This window comes from Homo sapiens, chromosome 2 (assembly GCF_000001405.40).
Source record: "Homo sapiens chromosome 2, GRCh38.p14 Primary Assembly".
Lineage (NCBI taxonomy): Eukaryota > Metazoa > Chordata > Mammalia > Primates > Hominidae > Homo > Homo sapiens.
The window spans coordinates 231,713,806-231,731,443 of NC_000002.12; the positions used below are offsets into that span (position 1 = coordinate 231,713,806).

General features: G+C 49.5%; 7 annotated features.

Moving 5' to 3' along the window:
• Nucleotides 697-856: an enhancer, noted in NCBI's record as "active region_17313". NCBI's record gives its function as "activates an Ori minimal core promoter by ATAC-STARR-seq in GM12878 lymphoblastoid cells {active_cell/tissue: GM12878}" and the evidence as "EXISTENCE:reporter gene assay evidence [ECO:0000049][PMID:35858748]".
• Nucleotides 866-1,395: an enhancer, noted in NCBI's record as "H3K27ac-H3K4me1 hESC enhancer chr2:232579381-232579910 (GRCh37/hg19 assembly coordinates)". NCBI's record gives its function as "activates a minimal SCP1, AML or CMV promoter by ChIP-STARR-seq in primed H9 embryonic stem cells {active_cell/tissue: H9 hESC(primed)}" and the evidence as "EXISTENCE:reporter gene assay evidence [ECO:0000049][PMID:30033119]".
• Nucleotides 914-1,208: a silencer, noted in NCBI's record as "tiled region #810; HepG2 Repressive DNase unmatched - State 25:Art". NCBI's record gives its function as "represses a minimal TATA promoter and a strong SV40 promoter by Sharpr-MPRA in HepG2 cells {active_cell/tissue: HepG2}" and the evidence as "EXISTENCE:reporter gene assay evidence [ECO:0000049][PMID:27701403]".
• Nucleotides 1,396-1,925: an enhancer, noted in NCBI's record as "H3K27ac-H3K4me1 hESC enhancer chr2:232579911-232580440 (GRCh37/hg19 assembly coordinates)". NCBI's record gives its function as "activates a minimal SCP1, AML or CMV promoter by ChIP-STARR-seq in primed H9 embryonic stem cells {active_cell/tissue: H9 hESC(primed)}" and the evidence as "EXISTENCE:reporter gene assay evidence [ECO:0000049][PMID:30033119]".
• Nucleotides 1,487-1,726: an enhancer, noted in NCBI's record as "active region_17314". NCBI's record gives its function as "activates an Ori minimal core promoter by ATAC-STARR-seq in GM12878 lymphoblastoid cells {active_cell/tissue: GM12878}" and the evidence as "EXISTENCE:reporter gene assay evidence [ECO:0000049][PMID:35858748]".
• Nucleotides 2,254-2,548: an enhancer, noted in NCBI's record as "tiled region #12341; K562 Activating DNase matched - State 5:Enh". NCBI's record gives its function as "activates a minimal TATA promoter and a strong SV40 promoter by Sharpr-MPRA in K562 cells {active_cell/tissue: K562}" and the evidence as "EXISTENCE:reporter gene assay evidence [ECO:0000049][PMID:27701403]".
• Nucleotides 7,071-7,150: an enhancer, noted in NCBI's record as "active region_17315". NCBI's record gives its function as "activates an Ori minimal core promoter by ATAC-STARR-seq in GM12878 lymphoblastoid cells {active_cell/tissue: GM12878}" and the evidence as "EXISTENCE:reporter gene assay evidence [ECO:0000049][PMID:35858748]".

Sequence of the window (17,638 nt, forward strand, 5' to 3'; positions counted from 1 at the left end):
GGTGCCCTGGGGGTGGGGGTTTGCAGTCCTAGACACTGGAAACGGGCCACACGGGACTGCCATTATGTGGAGCGCAGGGTGCTGGTGGTATAGGCCAAGAGGGAACTTGCCAAGCCTCCCAGGATGAGCGTCCAAGTGGTGGCTGCCTCTGCAGGCCTCACAGGTTTAGCTCCATGACGTGGCTCCCCCTGCTGGTGGCACGTGGTACCCCCCGGCCTCTTAGAATGCCGGGGTTTTGGTTTGGCACTGGTGCAGCCTGGCAGTCATCCAACCTTTGGTCTCCAGGTCCCTTAGGTTAGTTGGGCAGGCCCACCCTGCCCCTTGAACACAGTTGGAGAAGTTACTGTGCCGTTTGGATATTCATACACGGGCTGTGAGCAGTGGGTCAGGATAGCCAACTGGAGGAAGTGCCACCAGCTCGTGCCCTCAGAGGTGGAGGTAAGGATTAGAGCTCACCTAGAACCTTCTGGGATCCTCCAATGAGAGCTGCAGGGGCAGGGGCCGGTATAGGCACTGCTAGTGGGCCTGTTGCCCAGGTAGGACCTGAGGAAGCCATCCAGTGGTATCTGCAGGAAAACTCCCAGGAGCAGACTGAAGTGTCTGCAGAGGCCTGGCCTGGGTTAAGGGGAGATGCTGGGAAGGAGGGAAATGTGTGCATTGAAGAGAGCAAGAGAGACCAGTTCCCTCTACCTGCCCCTTGACACCGTGTCCACCCCATTCCATGCCCCCCCGACCTTTGTGTTTCACACCAGGCACCAGAGTTCTGGGGGGACCTTTCCCTTCTCTGGCTGGAGCTTAGTCACTCTCATGGGGCTGCTCAGGCCGCTTGTTCAGCATGTCCCCAGGCAGCTGCCACCAGGATCGGGGGCAGGTTGAGGCCTTGGTAGGAGGGACCCTCTGACCTGTATCTACCCCACACCCCCTGCACAGCCTGGGTATCTGCATCCTGGCTCATCCAGGGAAGAAAGGGAGGGTCTGGAGCCAAAACGCTGGCTCCTCTCTGTTCTGCCGCCCAAGGCGACTCAGTACTGCAGTGTTCCCAAGCTCGGCGCCCAGGAGGGTGTCTCTAAGGCAGGAGTGCAGGCGAAGGCCGTGAAGGAAGGCCACACAGGGCAGGTAGCGCTTGGAGCTGAGAGCAGATCTAACCCAGCTCCCTCAGGCTGCAGTCCTGCTCGGGACCACTACCGCAAGGCCCCTGAAAGGGGAGAAGCTGTGCCCTGGTCCGCACACAGACACGGCAGGCATGTTAGCATGAGGCAAGTAACTGAACCTTGTGGGCTTCAATCCCCTCCTCTGCAAAATGGGAACAATAGGATGAGGCATGAGCCAGGGCCCAGGGCTGCCTTGCTAGGGTCCCCCTGAGACACCCATATCAGCAGAGCTTACTGCCTCTGCTGTCTGAGCTGCCTCATCCCACCAAAGGTTTGGCCTGGAACAGCATTTGCTGGTTCTAGCAGAACACACTTACCCCTAGTCCTGAGCCTAGCACACAATTAACCACTGCCTGAGGATATACCTCAGGGCCCAGAGTCACCTTGATACCACTCCCAAAGTCCCCGAATGACCTCCCACTGGAGCCCAGGTTAAAAGATTATCAAGGAATGGGCGCCCCCTGGTGGACACAGAGGAACTGTAAAGCGTGCCGCTGAATTCTGTCCAGGAAAGACCCTTCAGTGGGCCCTGGTCCCAAGGTAGGCAACGCCAGTCACCCTCCACCTGACTCCCGCAACAAGACCTTTCTCCCTCTCTGTTGCTGGAACCCCAGTCAGATGTGACAGTCAGTGGTCATTTCCCAGACCTTCCTTCTGGGCAACTGATGCCCTCTCCCAAGGACTGAGTCCTTTACGTGGAACCAAAGCTGGAAGCAGGGGTCCACTCTTCCACGGTCTTGGGCTTCCCTGTGGCCACACACACCCTCACTGGACTCCACGCACCCTCACTGGACTCCATGCACCCTCACTGGACTCCATGCACCCTCACTGGACTCCATGCACCCTCACTCACTGGACTCCATACTGCCTCAGCAGACTCCACACTCTCTCACTGGACTCCCTGCTCCCTCACTCACTGGACTCCACGCACCCTCACTCACTGGACTCCACGCACCCTCACTGGACTCCACGCACCCTTACTCACTGGACTCCACACATCTTCACTGGACTCCACACATCCTCAGTGGACTCCACACATTCTCACTGGACTCTACAGACCCTCACTGGACTCCACGCTCCCTCACTGGACTCCACACTCCTTCACTGGACTCCACACACCCTCACTGGGACTGCTGCCCTGAGTACAAACTAGGAGAGTTTGAATGGGGGGTGTTCACTAGAATGACTAGAATGACTCAGTCACTAGAATGGGGGGCGGGGAGTCAGGGGCTCCCAGCTCTACTTCCTGGCTTTATCTTGGCTGTTGGCTACACAGCCCCAGGAATCAGTACTGCTTCTCCTCTACTGCTATCACAAGCCCTGGGGTCAGGATCCTCAGCCTCTGGCCCTTCCTAACTCCTCCCAGATCTCAGTCCCTCCAGGGCCCTGCTGCCTACCCTGCCTCTACCAAGCCTGCGGGTTGGATGCCTGTGTCCTAGATACAGGCCAGCCCTGCCTGCCTCAGGGCGCTGGCTGCTGCGTGGTCCCCTCCTGGTGGGAGCTGCTTCATGAGGGTGGAATCCCTGGGCCCCGTGTTATTTGGGGCCTGCTTCAGTCTGGCTGGGCCTCACAGGCCTGGCCCCCCGCTATGCCCAACCTGTCTGCTCAGCAGCCCATCTCCTTGATGCAAGTGTGCTCAGTTTTGCTGTGTCGCTGCTTGTCCTCCCTGTACCCCAGGCCCATGGAGGCATGGGCAGAACCAGCCAGGGAATGGGGCAGAGCTGTGCTCTGAGCTGTTCCTCTCGGGATACCTCAGCCTACGCTCATGGGTCTGGCCTGAGCTCAGAGAGGTGGAGGAAGCACAGATTAGGAAACATGGCTGAAACATTTTAAGGCCGTCCGGCACACTGACCCTATTTATATACTGGGTGAATGACACATGCATTGTTTGCAGAGAAGGCCTAGCAGCCAGTGACTGATGTGGATTCCATGAAGTCCTGAGCATAGCCAAGGATCGATGGTATGCCTCCATGGGCTCTCTGTCAAGGCTGTCACCCACAGCAACAAGAAGTACCAGGTGGTCACTTGAAGCAACCTCATTTTACATGCACCCATGTGGGGACCCCACTGTGAGACTCTGGGCAGGGAGCAGATCCCTTACTGAAAGGAGCTGCTGGTGGATTCCATAAGGTCCCAGGGGACATCTATTGTTTTTGCCACCAGCAGCCATTCCTTCACCCTTTTCTTGGCAGTAATGCCCTGAAGCAATGTCCAGCTTTTTTTTCTTTTAGACAGAGTCTAGCTCTGTCGCCCGGGCTGGAGGGCAGTGGCGTGATCTCGGCTCACTGCAACCTCCGCCTCCGGGGTTCAAGCCATTCACCTGCTTCAGCCTCCCGAGTAGCTGGGATTACAGGCGTGAGCCACCAGGCCATAGCTTTCCTTCTGAACTTCCCCCCTCCCACACTCAGACAAGCCCCAAGGCAGAACATGTGACTTGGTCCTGGCCAATCAGTGGCCTGAGGTGCCCTGGCTGCATTGGTTGGTTCACAGTTGGCACATGACCTAAGTCATCCAATCAGAAGGAGTTCTGGGATTTTTTTTTTTTTTTTTTTTTTTTTTGCGGGGGTTGCCGGAAAGGGAAGAAACATTTGGTTTTGTCCCTCAGGGATTTGAACTTAAGAGGCTGAGAAGATGAGGCTGCAGACTACTCAGTGAGAAGCAGAACTGAGCCAAGAGGCAGAGGAACCTCAATTCTGATGACATTGCTTGAGTGCTTCAGTCCAGCCACGCGGAGTATTCAGTTACACAAGCCAGTAAATTTCCTCCCGGTTTAGGCTAGTTCAGGATGGGTTTTCTGTCATCCGTAACTGAAAGACTCCCAACTAATAAACAGGGAGAATGCAGGGCTTCAGGCTTCAGTCTCCAGGGCCAACTAGGCCTCCATGAACAAAGACAGCTTGCTGGTGGGGGACAGAGGTGTGGGGATGCCTTTTCTGGTGTGGTTTCCAGATTGGGAGGAATACAGAGAGGTGAGTCAGCCTCAGAAGAGGCTGTGATCTCATGGTCAGTCTCTCAGCAGGATCTGAGTCCTGCCTGAACCATTCCAGCCAGGTGGGGGGATGGCTCGAGTCATCTGAGCTGCCCACCTGGCGTCCTCTGTGTGAAGCTTCTAATCCCCTCTTCTCCAGCCCACAGTGATCTCTGGCCCGCTGACCTCCCAGTGCTCCCATCGGGCCTTACAGGCAGACACACTCATTGAAGTGACTCGATGGCCCTGGGAGGCTTCTGGATAAGGTGTGAGATCCCGTCTTCATGCAGCCTGGAACCTCCCAGTTGTCTCTCTGCCCCAAGGTGTACCTGAGAAAGGGGAGGTGACTCCATCCCATCTGGAGAAACGCTAGGTTAAGCAATGCTAAAAGGGTTTTCTGGCAGGACATTGTGGCTCGTGCCTGTAATCCCAGCACTTTGGGAGGCTGAGGTGGGAGGATCACTTGAGATATAGAGTTTGAGACCAGCCCCAGCCTGGAAAACACAGTGAAACCCTGTCTCTACAAAAAATTAAAAATTAGTCAGGAGTGGTGGTGCACGCACCTATAGTCCCAGCTACATGGAAAGCTGAGGTGGGAGGATAGCTTGAGCTTGGCAGGTCGAAGCTGCAGTGAACCACTGCACCACTGCATTCTGGCCTGGGTGATAAAGCAAAACTCTGTCTTAAAACAAAACAAAACAAAAAAACAAAAGAGAAAGGTTCTCTTTCTGTAGAACTCACTGGGCACTGGGCAGTGCCCAGGGAATTCTAATATACAAAGGGTACTGAGTTTCCGAGAGGAAAGTTTAGCATGCAGTTCGCTCTCAATTTATTTGACCTGGATTTTTTCACAGAGCGCTATTAATATATTGAAGGACATTAGTGTCCAGTAAAAGCTGATCTTGCACAAGGACCCTCACCAGGGCTCGGGAAATGTTTGCTGAACTAAGCAGATGATGGAGAAGGATTCCTTTGAGAATTTGTTCCACAGTCTGGCTCTTGGAACCCCACATGGGCCTCATCCTCCTATGGCTGCAGGCAGCCTGGGCCCTGTGCTGACAGCGCTCCGTGTCAGTGTCAGCCCAGCACGGGAGACAGGCATGCCCTTGGCTGAGGAGGTAACTGGCATTTCTAGGTGGGGGGACAGTAAAACGTGGAAACTGGCATAAACCTTTCTGGAAAACATTTTGATCCTGTATATCAAGATCCAAAAAATATGCGCACATACTTTTGACCTAGAAGTTCCACTGCCAGGAAATCTGCTGAGGAAAGGCCGGGCAAGGTGGCTCACGCCTGTAATCCCAGCACTTTGGGAGGCTGAAGCGGGCAGATCACTTGAGGTCAGGAGTTCAAGACCAGCCTGGCCAACATGGTGAAACCCCATCTCTACTAAAAATACAAACATTAGCTGGGCATGGCGCGCGCCTGTAATCTCAGCTACTCTGGAGGCTGAGGCAGGAGAATCGCTTGAATCTGGGAGGTGGAGGTTGCAGTGAACCGAGATTGGGCCACTGCACTTCAGCCTGGGAGACAGAGTAGACTCCGTCTCAAAAAAAAAAAAAAAAAAAAAGAACTGCTGAGGGAGGCACTAGACCTGAAGGTGTCCATAACAGCATTATTATTATTATTATTATTATTATTATTATTATTTTATTGAGATAGGGTCTGGCTCTGTTGCCAGGCTGGAGTGCAGTGGCATGATCTGGGCCCACTGTAGCCTTGACCTCTTGGGCTCAGCCATCCTCCCCCCTCAGCCTCCAGAGTAGCTGGGATTACAGGTGTGAGCCACTGTGCCTGGCCTGACATTATTGATTGATAAGAGTAAAAAATTAGAGACAAGCCAAATGCTCGATCATCAGGAAGCAGGCAAGTCACTTACAGTATAACCACTTGGTAGATATCACAATGTTTACGAGAAATTTTCAAAATTGTTTTTAAATTTATAAAAGCATTCCAGGCCCACTGCATGACCTTCACGCTAGACAAAAATACTATGTGAGGAATACAGTGAGACCCCCGCTCAACCCCTTGTCTGGTCCAGTAGCCCTCTGTTAACTGTTAATGTGAAGCATGTGCCCTTCCCTCCAGAACTACAAGTAGTTTTGAATAATGTAGAGAAGAGCCTGTTTTAAAATGTCAAGAGAAAAAAAGTTGATACAGAATTGTGTCTACAGTATAATCTAATGATCAAGAAAAAAAAAGTCACGAATGAAGTTCACCAAAATGTCACTTCTTGGTGGTGGAATTATTTTTTCTTTAAGGTTGTTTTGTAAATTTTCCACACATAGATTTCAGCAGGGAAATAAATTAACAATCAATAAAAAGAAAGAAAGAAAACAAAGAAAAAAAGGCAAAACAGCAATCTGCACATCCGTTAGGTCTCTTTCAGTTGCAAGTGACAGAAACCTAACACAAACTGGTTTATGAAAAAAGGAAGTTTGTTGTCACTAGGATGTTCTGAGATAGCATGGCTTCAGGTACAGCAGGATTCAGGTCCTTAAACCATGTCATCAGGAACCCGTCTCCCTCCCGCCCTCCGTCAGCTCTGTTTTCTTTGGCATTGGTTTTGTTTTCTGGCCGTTTCACAGCTATAATACTATTGAATATGGTGACTACTGTTCGCAGCTTCTTCACCTAGCTTGGTGGTGGGAGTGGGAGGGCTGAAAAGGTAGTATGTTAACAGGACTGTTAGTTTTCTAATGAAACTCTTGAGAAAGCAGTGTGACAGACATCATGAGCCCTGTGGGAAGCCAGCAGCCCCTCATTCCCCATTCCTAGTTCAGTTGGGATTGGGCTGTGCTCTGCAGGTTCTCCTCATGGGGCCTGCTGGGACCCGCCATCTCTGAGGGGGAACCAGTCTTTTTCCCCATGGTTCCAGCCTAAGTCCTGCAGAAGGCTGTCACTGGTGAGATCTGGTCATGTGGCCCCACCCACAAGTCAGACCCACAGAGGCACTTGGACAGAGGGTGAGAATGGGGTAGGAGATCTTCCATTATGAAAAGTCAGTGTTATGAATAGGAGGGAGGCTGGGCAGGAGAAAGCAACTGATGTCTGCCACATCCAGTCAGTGGGTACTTGAGGAATTTCAATACAATTCAAAATGGAATCAGGGTGACCTGGGCCTGCTCTTGGGCAGGTGGACCTGGAGTATGACTGCACCCAGTGGTAGTGGAACCACATGTCAATATTGCCCTTGTTATTGCCCCTGAGTACTTCTTTCACTTCCCCTCATAGCTCTTCCACCACTAGGGCTAGGCAGGGAGCTTGAGTCTCATTCTCTGAGGGAAGGACGCAGCCTGGGCCAAGAAGACACTGCTCAGCTTGAGTTTCAAAGTGACTCTCTTTACTCATAGCAAGATGAGAAATCAAGCTCTCAAGAGTAGAAAAGGGCTAATGTGTTTTTATGTATCATGGACCAAAGTTCAGAGACGTGACCACAGTGGGAGAGAACAGTGAGAAAGGGCCCTGCTGACTACACAGGGAGGCGTCAAGCCCTTCAGGGCTGACTGGAGTGGGGCTTGGATCAGGAGAGAGAGAGACGATTTAGACATAAGTGACCTCATGGGCTGGCAGCTAGTGCCACACAGTGCCCCAAAGACCACACAGGTCCTTCAGTGGATGCCAACATAGAATGCCTGTGTCTTGGGGTGCCAAGCCACCAGCATCTGAGGAACTATACGCTCATCCCTGCTCTCTGGGTCCTTTCCAAGCAGAGGAAAGACGGTGCTGTCTGAGGGGTGTGGCTGCTTGAGACCTTGTCACATAGCTGGCCACCAGTCTTACTCACCACTCCTCCTTTCTGGTGCTCTCAAGGTCACTCCAGCCAAAAAATGGCCATCTGCTCTCCAGGTCAAAGTGGTGCATGGAAGGGATCAGATGACATCCCAGCCAAGGACTTCTAAGGGAACAGGCAGCAGCAGAGGATGGCGTATCCTCCACAGCTGTCATGCCCAGCCTTGTCCTGAAGATGCTGGGAGCAGGACAGGCCCGGCTCTGACCCTACTTGAGGGAGGCTTTAGGCAAGAAACTTCCCCTATGAGGCTTTGGGTTCCTCATGACTGGAACGGAGCTCACCAGCTCTGCTCCTCTCCAGGTGAGGACAAACACAGGCCCCCCCCAACTGTCACTGTTCATTATGATTAGTGACTGCAGGTTACAGGGATTTTGGCAACCCTTCTACAGGCAGGATGGGTCAGGGTTCTCAGGTGACACAGTGTGACAGGGACCGGTGCAGCTCCAGCTGTTTATGGCATAGGAGGCTCATATAGCAGAGGACTCAGCCACTGGAAGAGCTGAGGGGTCTGTGGGGGGACTCAGGAGGTAGGAGGGGGGGAATGTGAGGGGGACTGCGGGGTGAGACTAAGGGGTGACTCAGTCAGCTCAGGCTGCTGTAACAAAATACCTTCAACTGGGTGGCTTATAAACAGTAAATATTGGCTGGGCACGGTGGCTCACACCTGTAATCCCAGCACTTTGGGAGGCCGAGGCAGGCAGATCACCTGAGGTCAGGAGTTCGAGATCAGCCTGGCCAACATGGTGAAACCCTGTCTCTACTAAAAATACAAAAATTAGTTGGGCATGGTGGCAGATGCCTGGAATCCCAGCTACTCGGAAGGCTGAGGCAGGAGAATCACTTGAACCCAGGAGGCTGAGGTTGCAGCAAGCCGAGATTGCACCATTGGACTCCAGCCTGGGCAATGAGCGAAACTCCATCTCAAAACAACAACAACAACAACAACAACAACCCAGCAAATATTTATTTCTCACAGTTTTGGAGTTTGGGAAATCCATGATCAAAGGTGCTGGCTGTCTACGAAAACAAAAACAAAACAAAAGCGTGCTGGCACACTTGCCGTTGGGTGAAGGCTGCTTACTGGCCCATGGATGATGCCTCTTTGCTGCGTCCTCACATGGTGGAAAGGGGGAGGGTGCTCTCTGGTGTCTCTTTTTATAAGGGCACTAATCCCATTCATGAAGCCTCCACCTCCATGGCCTAATCACCTCCCAAAGGCCCCACCTCCTAACACTGTCTCCTTGGGGAGACATAGGAATTTTGGGCGGGGACACCAACATTCAGACTATAGCAGGGGGATACAGAGAAGGGACTGAGGGGACTGGAGGGGGGACTGGGAGGAGAGACTGAGGTAGGACTGCCCAGGGCCTACCAAAATAACAAACTGGTTGGGCACGGTGGGCTCATGCCTGTAATCCCAGCACCTTGGGAGGCCAAGGTGGGGGCACTGCTTGAGCCCAGGAGTTTGAGACCAGTCTGGGCAACATAGTGCAACCCGACTCTTACAAACATTTAAAAAATTAAAGAGAAATCAAAAACAGCAACTTAACTTTTACCGGTAGCCTCTTGTGCAATGACATGTTTTTGATGTGGCCGTCCCAGTGGCTTTTTGCCTTCTCAGGTAAGAGGCCAAGGAGATGCCTGTGTGCAGAGGCATGGTTTTCCTTAGAATATCACTGTGTATCTCCTCCAGAAATACCATTAAATCCACAATTGAGGTTCTAGAATTTGGTGCTATAACATCATTTGTAGCCTACAAATGTTTGAGGATCACTCTGGTTGTCAAATTATTTTAGTATCATAAAACGTCTACTTTTTTTTTTTTGAGATGGAGTCTCCCTCTGTCGCCCAGGCTGGAGTACAATGGCGCAATCTTGGCTCACTGCAGCCTCCCCTTCCCAGGTTCAAGCGATTCTCCTGCCTCAGCCTCCTGAGTAGTAGCTGGGATTACAGGCGTGTGCAACCATGCCCGGCTAGTTTTTGTATTTTTAGTAGAGACAGGGCTTGACTATGTTGGTGAGGCTGGTCTTGAACTCCTGACCTCATGATCCGCCTGCCTCGGCCTCCCAAAGTGCTGGGATTACAGGCATGAGCCACTGTGCCTGGCTGAAAATGTCTATTTTTAAGTAAGTCTGCTTTTACTTTCTTGGAATCCTCCAAGAAAAACGTTATAATCTTAGCCTAATTTTACCAAATGAATATTATTCAAATTTTTCAATATCTGTTAAATTATATTCAGCTTGTTGCTGAATATAAGCCAATTAAAAGTTAGTATATACCTGCCAGAGGAGATTATTTAGATTCTAAACCTGACTGAGGGCTAGACCTCAAGTAAACAATATGCATGGCCAACAGTGTATCATAAAGAAAAGAAATGATCATGATTGAACTGTTTAATAACATAAAACAATAAAATGTAATTTTAAGTTCTGTAAACAAGTAGACCAATCATCTCCACTGGATTATGCCAGGGCACCTTGTGACCCATAAAATATTCAGATAGCATATTATATCTCAAATGCACATAATTTAGCTCAAAATGAAATAATATAATATATATAAAGCATTCAAGTGACAATAACTTTGCTTATCCTCTTATAACAGAGAAGAGTTATTTAGGGGATGATTTGAGTAAGTCAGTTCACTTAAGAAGCCATTCTAAGATATCTGACTAGATGCCTTTTCCGTTGAATGCATTTCCTTTAATAAGTGCAAGAATTCAAAAGCATTCCATTGAACCAAGAGCTGCTTCAGAGCTCAGAAGTGAGTGGTCAATACCCATTTGTTGCTACAGCTGCCAGTGATGGTGATGAGTGTATGTTTCTTTCTTGAGACAGGGTCTCACTTTGTCACCCAGGCTGGGGTGCAGTGGAGTGATCTCGGCTCACCGCAACCTCTGCCTCCCAGGCTTAAGCGATCCTCTCGCCTCAGACTCCTGAGTAGCTGGGACTACAGGTGTGCACCACCACGCCCAGCTAATTTTTGTATTTTTTGTAGAGAGGGGGTTTCACCATGTTGCCCAGGCTCATCTCGAACTCCTGATCTCAAGCAATCCCGTCTCCGTCTCCCAAAGTGCTGGGATTACAGCAGGGAGCCACCGTGCCCAGCTGAGTATATGTTTTTAACCCTCTGAAAGACATTTTGTTTTTTTGAGACGGGAATCTCACTCTGTTGCCTAGGGTGGTGTGCAGTGGCATGAACATGGCTCACTGCAGCTTCAACTTCCTGAGTTCAAGTGATCCTCCTGTCTCAGCTTTGCAAATAGCTGGGACCACAGGTGTGTGTCACCATGCCCAGCTAATTTAAAACAAATTTTTTTTTGCAGAGACGGGATCTTGCTTTGTTCCCCAGGCTGGTCTTGTATTCTTGGGCTCAAGCAATCCTCCTGCCTCGGCCTCTCAAAGTGCTGGGATTGCAGGTGTAAGCCCTGGTGCCTCGTCCTTCAAGACAAATATGTCTTTAAACTAAGAGCTTAACAGAGGTCCCCCAACTTTCTCTGTTCACAGCAATCTTAGTGTTTCAGTAACTTTTATGCCAAAATAAATATCCAACTCCTCTTTAGTTAGTTAGGTTCAAACAACTTATGAAGCATTTCTGCCCTTAGTAGCTTGTCATATTATTTTGGAGAAAAGAAGCCACATAAATTGAGAAATTTTTTTTTTTTTTTTTTTTTGAGACGGGCTCACTCTGTTGCTCAGGCTAAAGTGCAGTGGTGTGATCTCAGCTCACTGTAACCTCCACCTCCCAGGTTCAATCGATTCTCCTGCCTCAGCCTCCCAAGTAGCTGGGGCTAGAGGCACATGCCTCACCACACCCAGCTAATTTTTGTATTTTTTGGTAGAGACGGGGTTTCACTGTGCCAGGCTGGTCTTGAACTCCTGGCCTCAAGTGATCCACCCGCCTCCCAAAGTGTGGGGATTACAGGCATGAGCCACCGCGTCCGGCCTAATTTCATTTTTGATTACAACGAATGACTTACTAATGGGGTGTGTGTGCCTGTTAGGCACTGCACAGCTTTTTGTACCTTGGAATCCGAACGGACGCCACCACCCTCATCTCCTGTTCAAGTTGATTTTCTCTGGGTTCTTGCTTCTTATCACCCAAACCTCCGCAAGCTCAGCTTCCCAGATATTTCATCAAAGAGAATGCAGCACAGCCTAATTTGAAACTTAACAATCTTAGCTAATAGTTAAGCATTAATAGGACAGATGTTCAGTGCCACTGTATTTTCTTTGAAAATTAAAAAAATCCTGCGGCCTCCCTGTGAGTTTGTGGAAGTGCCCTGGGAACGAAACATCTTCACCAAATCCCCGATTCTCACCCGGCTCCACCCCTCAGTTTATTTAAAGCTACAGCTGAAGCTGCTTGGTTACAGATCAAATAAAATCACCAAAGAGAATTGCTAAGCCTGATTATGTCTTCACTTTGAGGACCATTTTAACAGTGTGTTTTGAAAGCTGTGCAACAATTACCAGGTCACTAGCAAGAAGTTCTAAAAATAAACTTGACAATACAGGCTTAAAGTACTGTCCCACAGGTATAGGACAGTATTGTAGCTAGCAGGGCTGGTGATCAGATTGCACCTTAGCTTGTTCTTTCTGGCTGTGATGTGGAGGGTAAGTCAGGAAGGGAGGCCCGTGCTGCAGTCCTGAGATGGTTACAGGACCTGAGGTGGGGCCCGTGGGGATGGCGAGGACCCGAACAAGATGTTTATGAAGTGAGGTCAACGGGCTAGGGTCTACTGGGCTGTGGGGCAGTAGGGCAAGGAGAATGGAGACAGCCCATGCCCACCTGGGTGGATGTATCCAGCCACCCCTCTCACCCGTGACTGGGAGTGAAGGAAAGCAAGGACACTTGACCTCTTTGCCCGACTTCTTCCTCATTTCTCTTCTCCATCCTACTCTAGGCTGCAAGGGGAGGGCTTTCACCTCCTCCTATAACGCAGGGATTTCCCTCACGTTGTAGCCTGAGTTCTCTGTATTCAACAGGTAATCAAGTATGGTACCCCTGGTTCTTGCCATGTTGATGTCAGTTTAAGAGATTTAAAAACTCTTTTCTTTCTGAGTAAAGCCTGGCTTTCCAGAAGAAAATCTGGAAACTCAAAAATCCTGTTTTGTGCTGGAGACTCAAAAATCCTGTTTTGGAAGTCAATTGCTGAATGTTGACTTCTTTCATTTGTTTATTAAAAAAAAAAATACAGACAGGGTCTTGCTATGTTGCCCAGGCTGGTTTCGAACTCCTGGCCTCAAGTGATCCTCCCCCTTGGCCTCCCAAAGTGTTGGGATTATAGTTGTGAGCCACCCATGCCTGGCCTTGACTTCTTTCAGTTTCTATACCCCCTCACTCCAGACTGATGCTGTCATTGCACTGTCTTGTTTTCTTCAGAACACTGATCACTATCGAAATTATTTATTTGCCTTCTGTCTCCTCCCATTAAAATCTAATGGGAGATTGGCTGGGCATGGTGGCTCACGCCTGTAATCCCAGCACTTTGGGAGGCTGAGGTGGGTGGATCAGGAGGTCAGGAGTTCAAGACCAGCCTGGCCAACATGGTAAAACCCCGTCCCTACTAAAAATACAAAAATTAGGCAGGCGTGGTGGCAGGCGCCTGTAATCCCAGCTACTTGGGAGGCTGAGGCAGAAGAATTGCTTGAACCCGGGAGGACGAATTTGCAGTAAGCTGAGACCACGCCACTGCACTCCAGCCTGGACAACAAGAGCGAAACTCCATCTATAACAAACAAAAAAATCTAATGGTAAAATAGGGCCCTCATTCATCTCGTCTAGTAAGTTATCTCCACCGCTTAGAACAGTGTCTGGAGTATAAAAAGTGGTCAGTAAATGTGTGTGGAGTAAATGCGTAATGCTTAAAGAATTGGCACATAGCATCTTCTCAATACACTACAACTAAAAAAGAAAATCTAAAACATTTTTGGGACGAGGCAGCTGGAAGAAAAATGAAGAGCCTACAGATGAGGAAGGAGCAGAACACCCAGAAGAGGGGCTCCCAGAATCTAAGGAGAAGGGAAACCCAGCAGACGTCAGAAGAATCAGATGCAGCAGAGAAAGCAAGGACTTGAAGGGGCCCGACAAAGGGGTGGGGCCAGAGCCAGATGGCAGTGTTTGAGGAATGGATGAGAGGAGTGGGAAGCGTGAGTGAAGACAATTCCAAGTTTGGATCTGCAGAGAAAGAGAAGGACTAGGGCAGGAGCTGAAGGCCATGCAGGATTGAAGAGAAGTCTTATTTTTAGAAATTTATTTTTTAAGGTGATTTGAACATGTTTTGTGGGCTGAGGGTTGAAGGATCTGGAGAAAAGGCTTTTCCGATTTTGTCTTGAGCATAATCTCCTCTTCCTTTAAATTTCTAACTGGTATTTCTCTTATGGCATTTTTTTTTTTTTTTTTTGTGAGAAGGAGTCTAGTTCTGTCGCCCAGGCTGGAGTATAGTGGCACAATCTCAGCTCACTGTAACCTCCGCCTCCTGGGTTCAAGCTATTCTCCTGTCTCAGCCTCCTGAGTAGCTGGGATTATAGGCACCTGCCACCATGCCCAGCTAATTTTTTGTATTTTTAGTAGAGACGGGGTTTCATTGTGTTGGCCAGGCTGGTCTCGAACTCCTGACCTCGTGATCCGCCCGCCTTGGCCTCCCAAAGTGCTGGGATTACAGGCATGAGTCACCGTGCCCAGCTTTTTATTTTATTTTATTTTTTTTGAGATGCAGTTTTGCTCTTGTCACCCAGGCTAGAGTGCAGTGGTACAATCTTGGCTCACTGCAACCTCCACCTCCCGGGTTCAAGCGATTCTCCTGCCTCAGCCTCTTGAACAGCTGGGATTATAGGTGCCTGCCACCACGCCCAGATATTTTTTTTTTTCCCGTAGAGACGGGGTTTCACCATACTGGCCAGGCTGGTCTCAAACTCCTGACCTCACGTGATCCACCCGCCTCAGCCTCCCAAAGTGCTGGGATTGCAGGCATGAGCCACCGCCCCAAGCCTCTTATGGCATTTCTGGTAATTATTTGTTGTATCCTCCTACTACAGACAAACTCAATAAAGGTAAGCTTGTGCCTAGCACAGCATCTTATTAGTGGGTATAATAGGCCTATCAGTGTGGCCTGAATGTGGCTATATCCCCTTTGGAAGACTTTCCTGCCTAACGAGGGCCAGACTCGGTACTTCATCACATTCCCCATCACAAAAGCCCAATACTCAAAACACTGGCAAGAAACATAATGGGGGTACTGATGCGAGGGTGTATTGCATATTACACAGCAAAGTTTAACCAAAATTCTCTAAATAGAAATCTATATTCTTTCTTGCAAGTTTCCTTCTCCAAGGCTGTGCGGCCTGGGATTCTTCCCCCTTTCTCCTCCCCAACACAGACTCTTAAGCTCCTCTTGATTGCCCTGAGCAGGTGAACAATCCCTCTCAGCTTGTACAGGTCAGAGATGGGACTCTGTTCCTTAAGCAAGCTGCTTGGAGACCTCAGTCTGTCCTGCAGCCATCCTCATGTACACATCTATGTCTCTAACACATATTAAATGCCTCTACCAGTATTTCTCAAAGCATGGTCCATAGACCACCTGCATCGGAGTCACCTGGCGGCTTTAGGGTGCAGATTTCTGGGCCTCACACCTACTGATCAGACTCTCTGGGAGCCGGGTGGGGCAGGGAGATGCCCATCATTGATTTGAAAATCAGTGGCCATAGACTGTGCCAGGCCTGGTCTATATGAGTCTCTTTCCAGGAACATTCTGCAGCCTTCAGTGTATCCAGAAAAAGCTGCATCTCCAGGCATCTGGGCCTGCATTAAGGCCCACCATGCAAGAGCTGACTTTGACTTCACAAGGGTCCTAGTCCCTACAGTTCTCCTGTCCTCTCCTTTTGCTTGTGTTTACTTAGGCCTGCGCCAATTCCCTCCTTCTCCTAGCATTCAGCCTTCCTCCCCACCAGTTCAAATCCCACCCACACTACTTGGAGCCCCTAGTCAGTACTGTCCCTGAAGCACACACTTTCTATTTTTCTCAGAGCAGCTAGCAAGAAGCGTGTCTGACTGTTTTGGACAGATGAGTGAGTGGAGAAGCATTCTCTGGGAAGTCCTTTCTCCACTACAGTGTGTAGAGTACCATGAGAACATTCCTTGATGGAATTATGGGGAGCAGATATGGTTTAGCAAAGAGGAGATGGGTTCACTCTGAGAAAAAGAGATGGCATTTTAAGAAGGTAATTCAGGCTGGGCGCGGTGGCTCACGCCTGTAATCCCAACACTTTGGGAGGCTGAGGTGGGTGGATCACGAGGTCAGGAGTTCAAGACCAGCCTGACCAACATGGTAAAACCCCGTCTCTACTAAAAATACAAAAATTAGCTGGATGTGGTGGTGTGCGCCTGTAATCCTAGCTACTCAGGAGGCTGAGGCAGGAGAATTGCTTGAACCTGGGAGGCAGAGGTTGCAGTGAGCTGAGGTCGCATCACTGCACTCCAGCCTGGGCGACAGAGTGAAACTCTGTCTCAGAAAAAAAAAAAAAGATTTTTAAAAATTAGCTGGGCATGGTGGCACACATGTGTAGTCCCAGCTACTCGGGAGGCTAAGGTTAGAGGATCTCTTGAGTCCAGGAGTTTGAGGCTCTTGTGAAGCTAGTATGCCACTGCACTCTGGCCTGGGTGACACAGAGAGACTCTGTCTCTAAAAAGAATAAATAAATAGATAAATAAACAATAAAGCAATTCATTTTCACCTTGTTTTTTTCTTTCTTTTTTTTTTTCCAAGGCGGAGTCTCGCTCTGTTGCCCAGGCTGGAGTGCAGTGGCATGATCTTGGCTCACTGCAACCTCCGCCTCAGCCTCCTGAGTAGATGGGACTACAGGCGCCCGCCACCATGCCCGGCTGTGTTTTTTCTTTTCTTTTCTTTTCGTTTCTTTTCTTTCTTTCTTTTTTTTTTTTGAGACAGGGTCTTGCTTTGTCACCCACGCCAGAGTGCAGTGGCACGATCTCAACCCACTGCAACCTCTGCCTCCTGGGCTCAAGCAATCCTCCTGCCTCATCCTCCCGAGTAGTCAGGACTACAGGCACACACCTCCATGCCTGGATAATTTATGTATTATCATTTGTAGAGACTGGGTTTTACCATTGTTGCCCAGGCTCGTCTCGAACCCCCAGGCTCAAGCGATCCTTCCGCCTTGGTCTCCTAAATTGCTGGGGTTACCCCAACTTGTTTTTCCATCCAAACTTTGGTATTTAAAAAATAGCTTTTGGGCCGGGCATGGTGGCTCATGCCTGTAATCCCAGCACTTTGGGGGGCCGAGGGGGGTGGATCACCTGAGGTCAGGAGTTTGAGACCAGCCTGACCAATATGGTGAAACCCTGTCTCTGCTAAAAATACAAAAAAAAAAAAAATTAACCGGCGTGGTGGTGTGTGCCTGTAATCCCAGCTACTTGGGAGGCTGAGACAGGAGAATTGCTTGAACCCAGGAGGTGGAGGTTGCAGTGAGCCGAGATCATGCCACTGCACTCCAGCCTGGGTGACAGAGCAAGATTCTGTCTCTAAATAAATAAATAAATAAATAAAATTAATAAAAAACAGCTTTTGAAGACAACAGATCTAATATGAGGAATTGAATCATCATTGAAAGATGGTAGTACACTAAAAATATACGGTTTCTCCTCCCCACCCGCAGATGCAAACAGACTCAGGTAATAGAGAGAAAAGGAAAAGAGGAATCTGAGAGC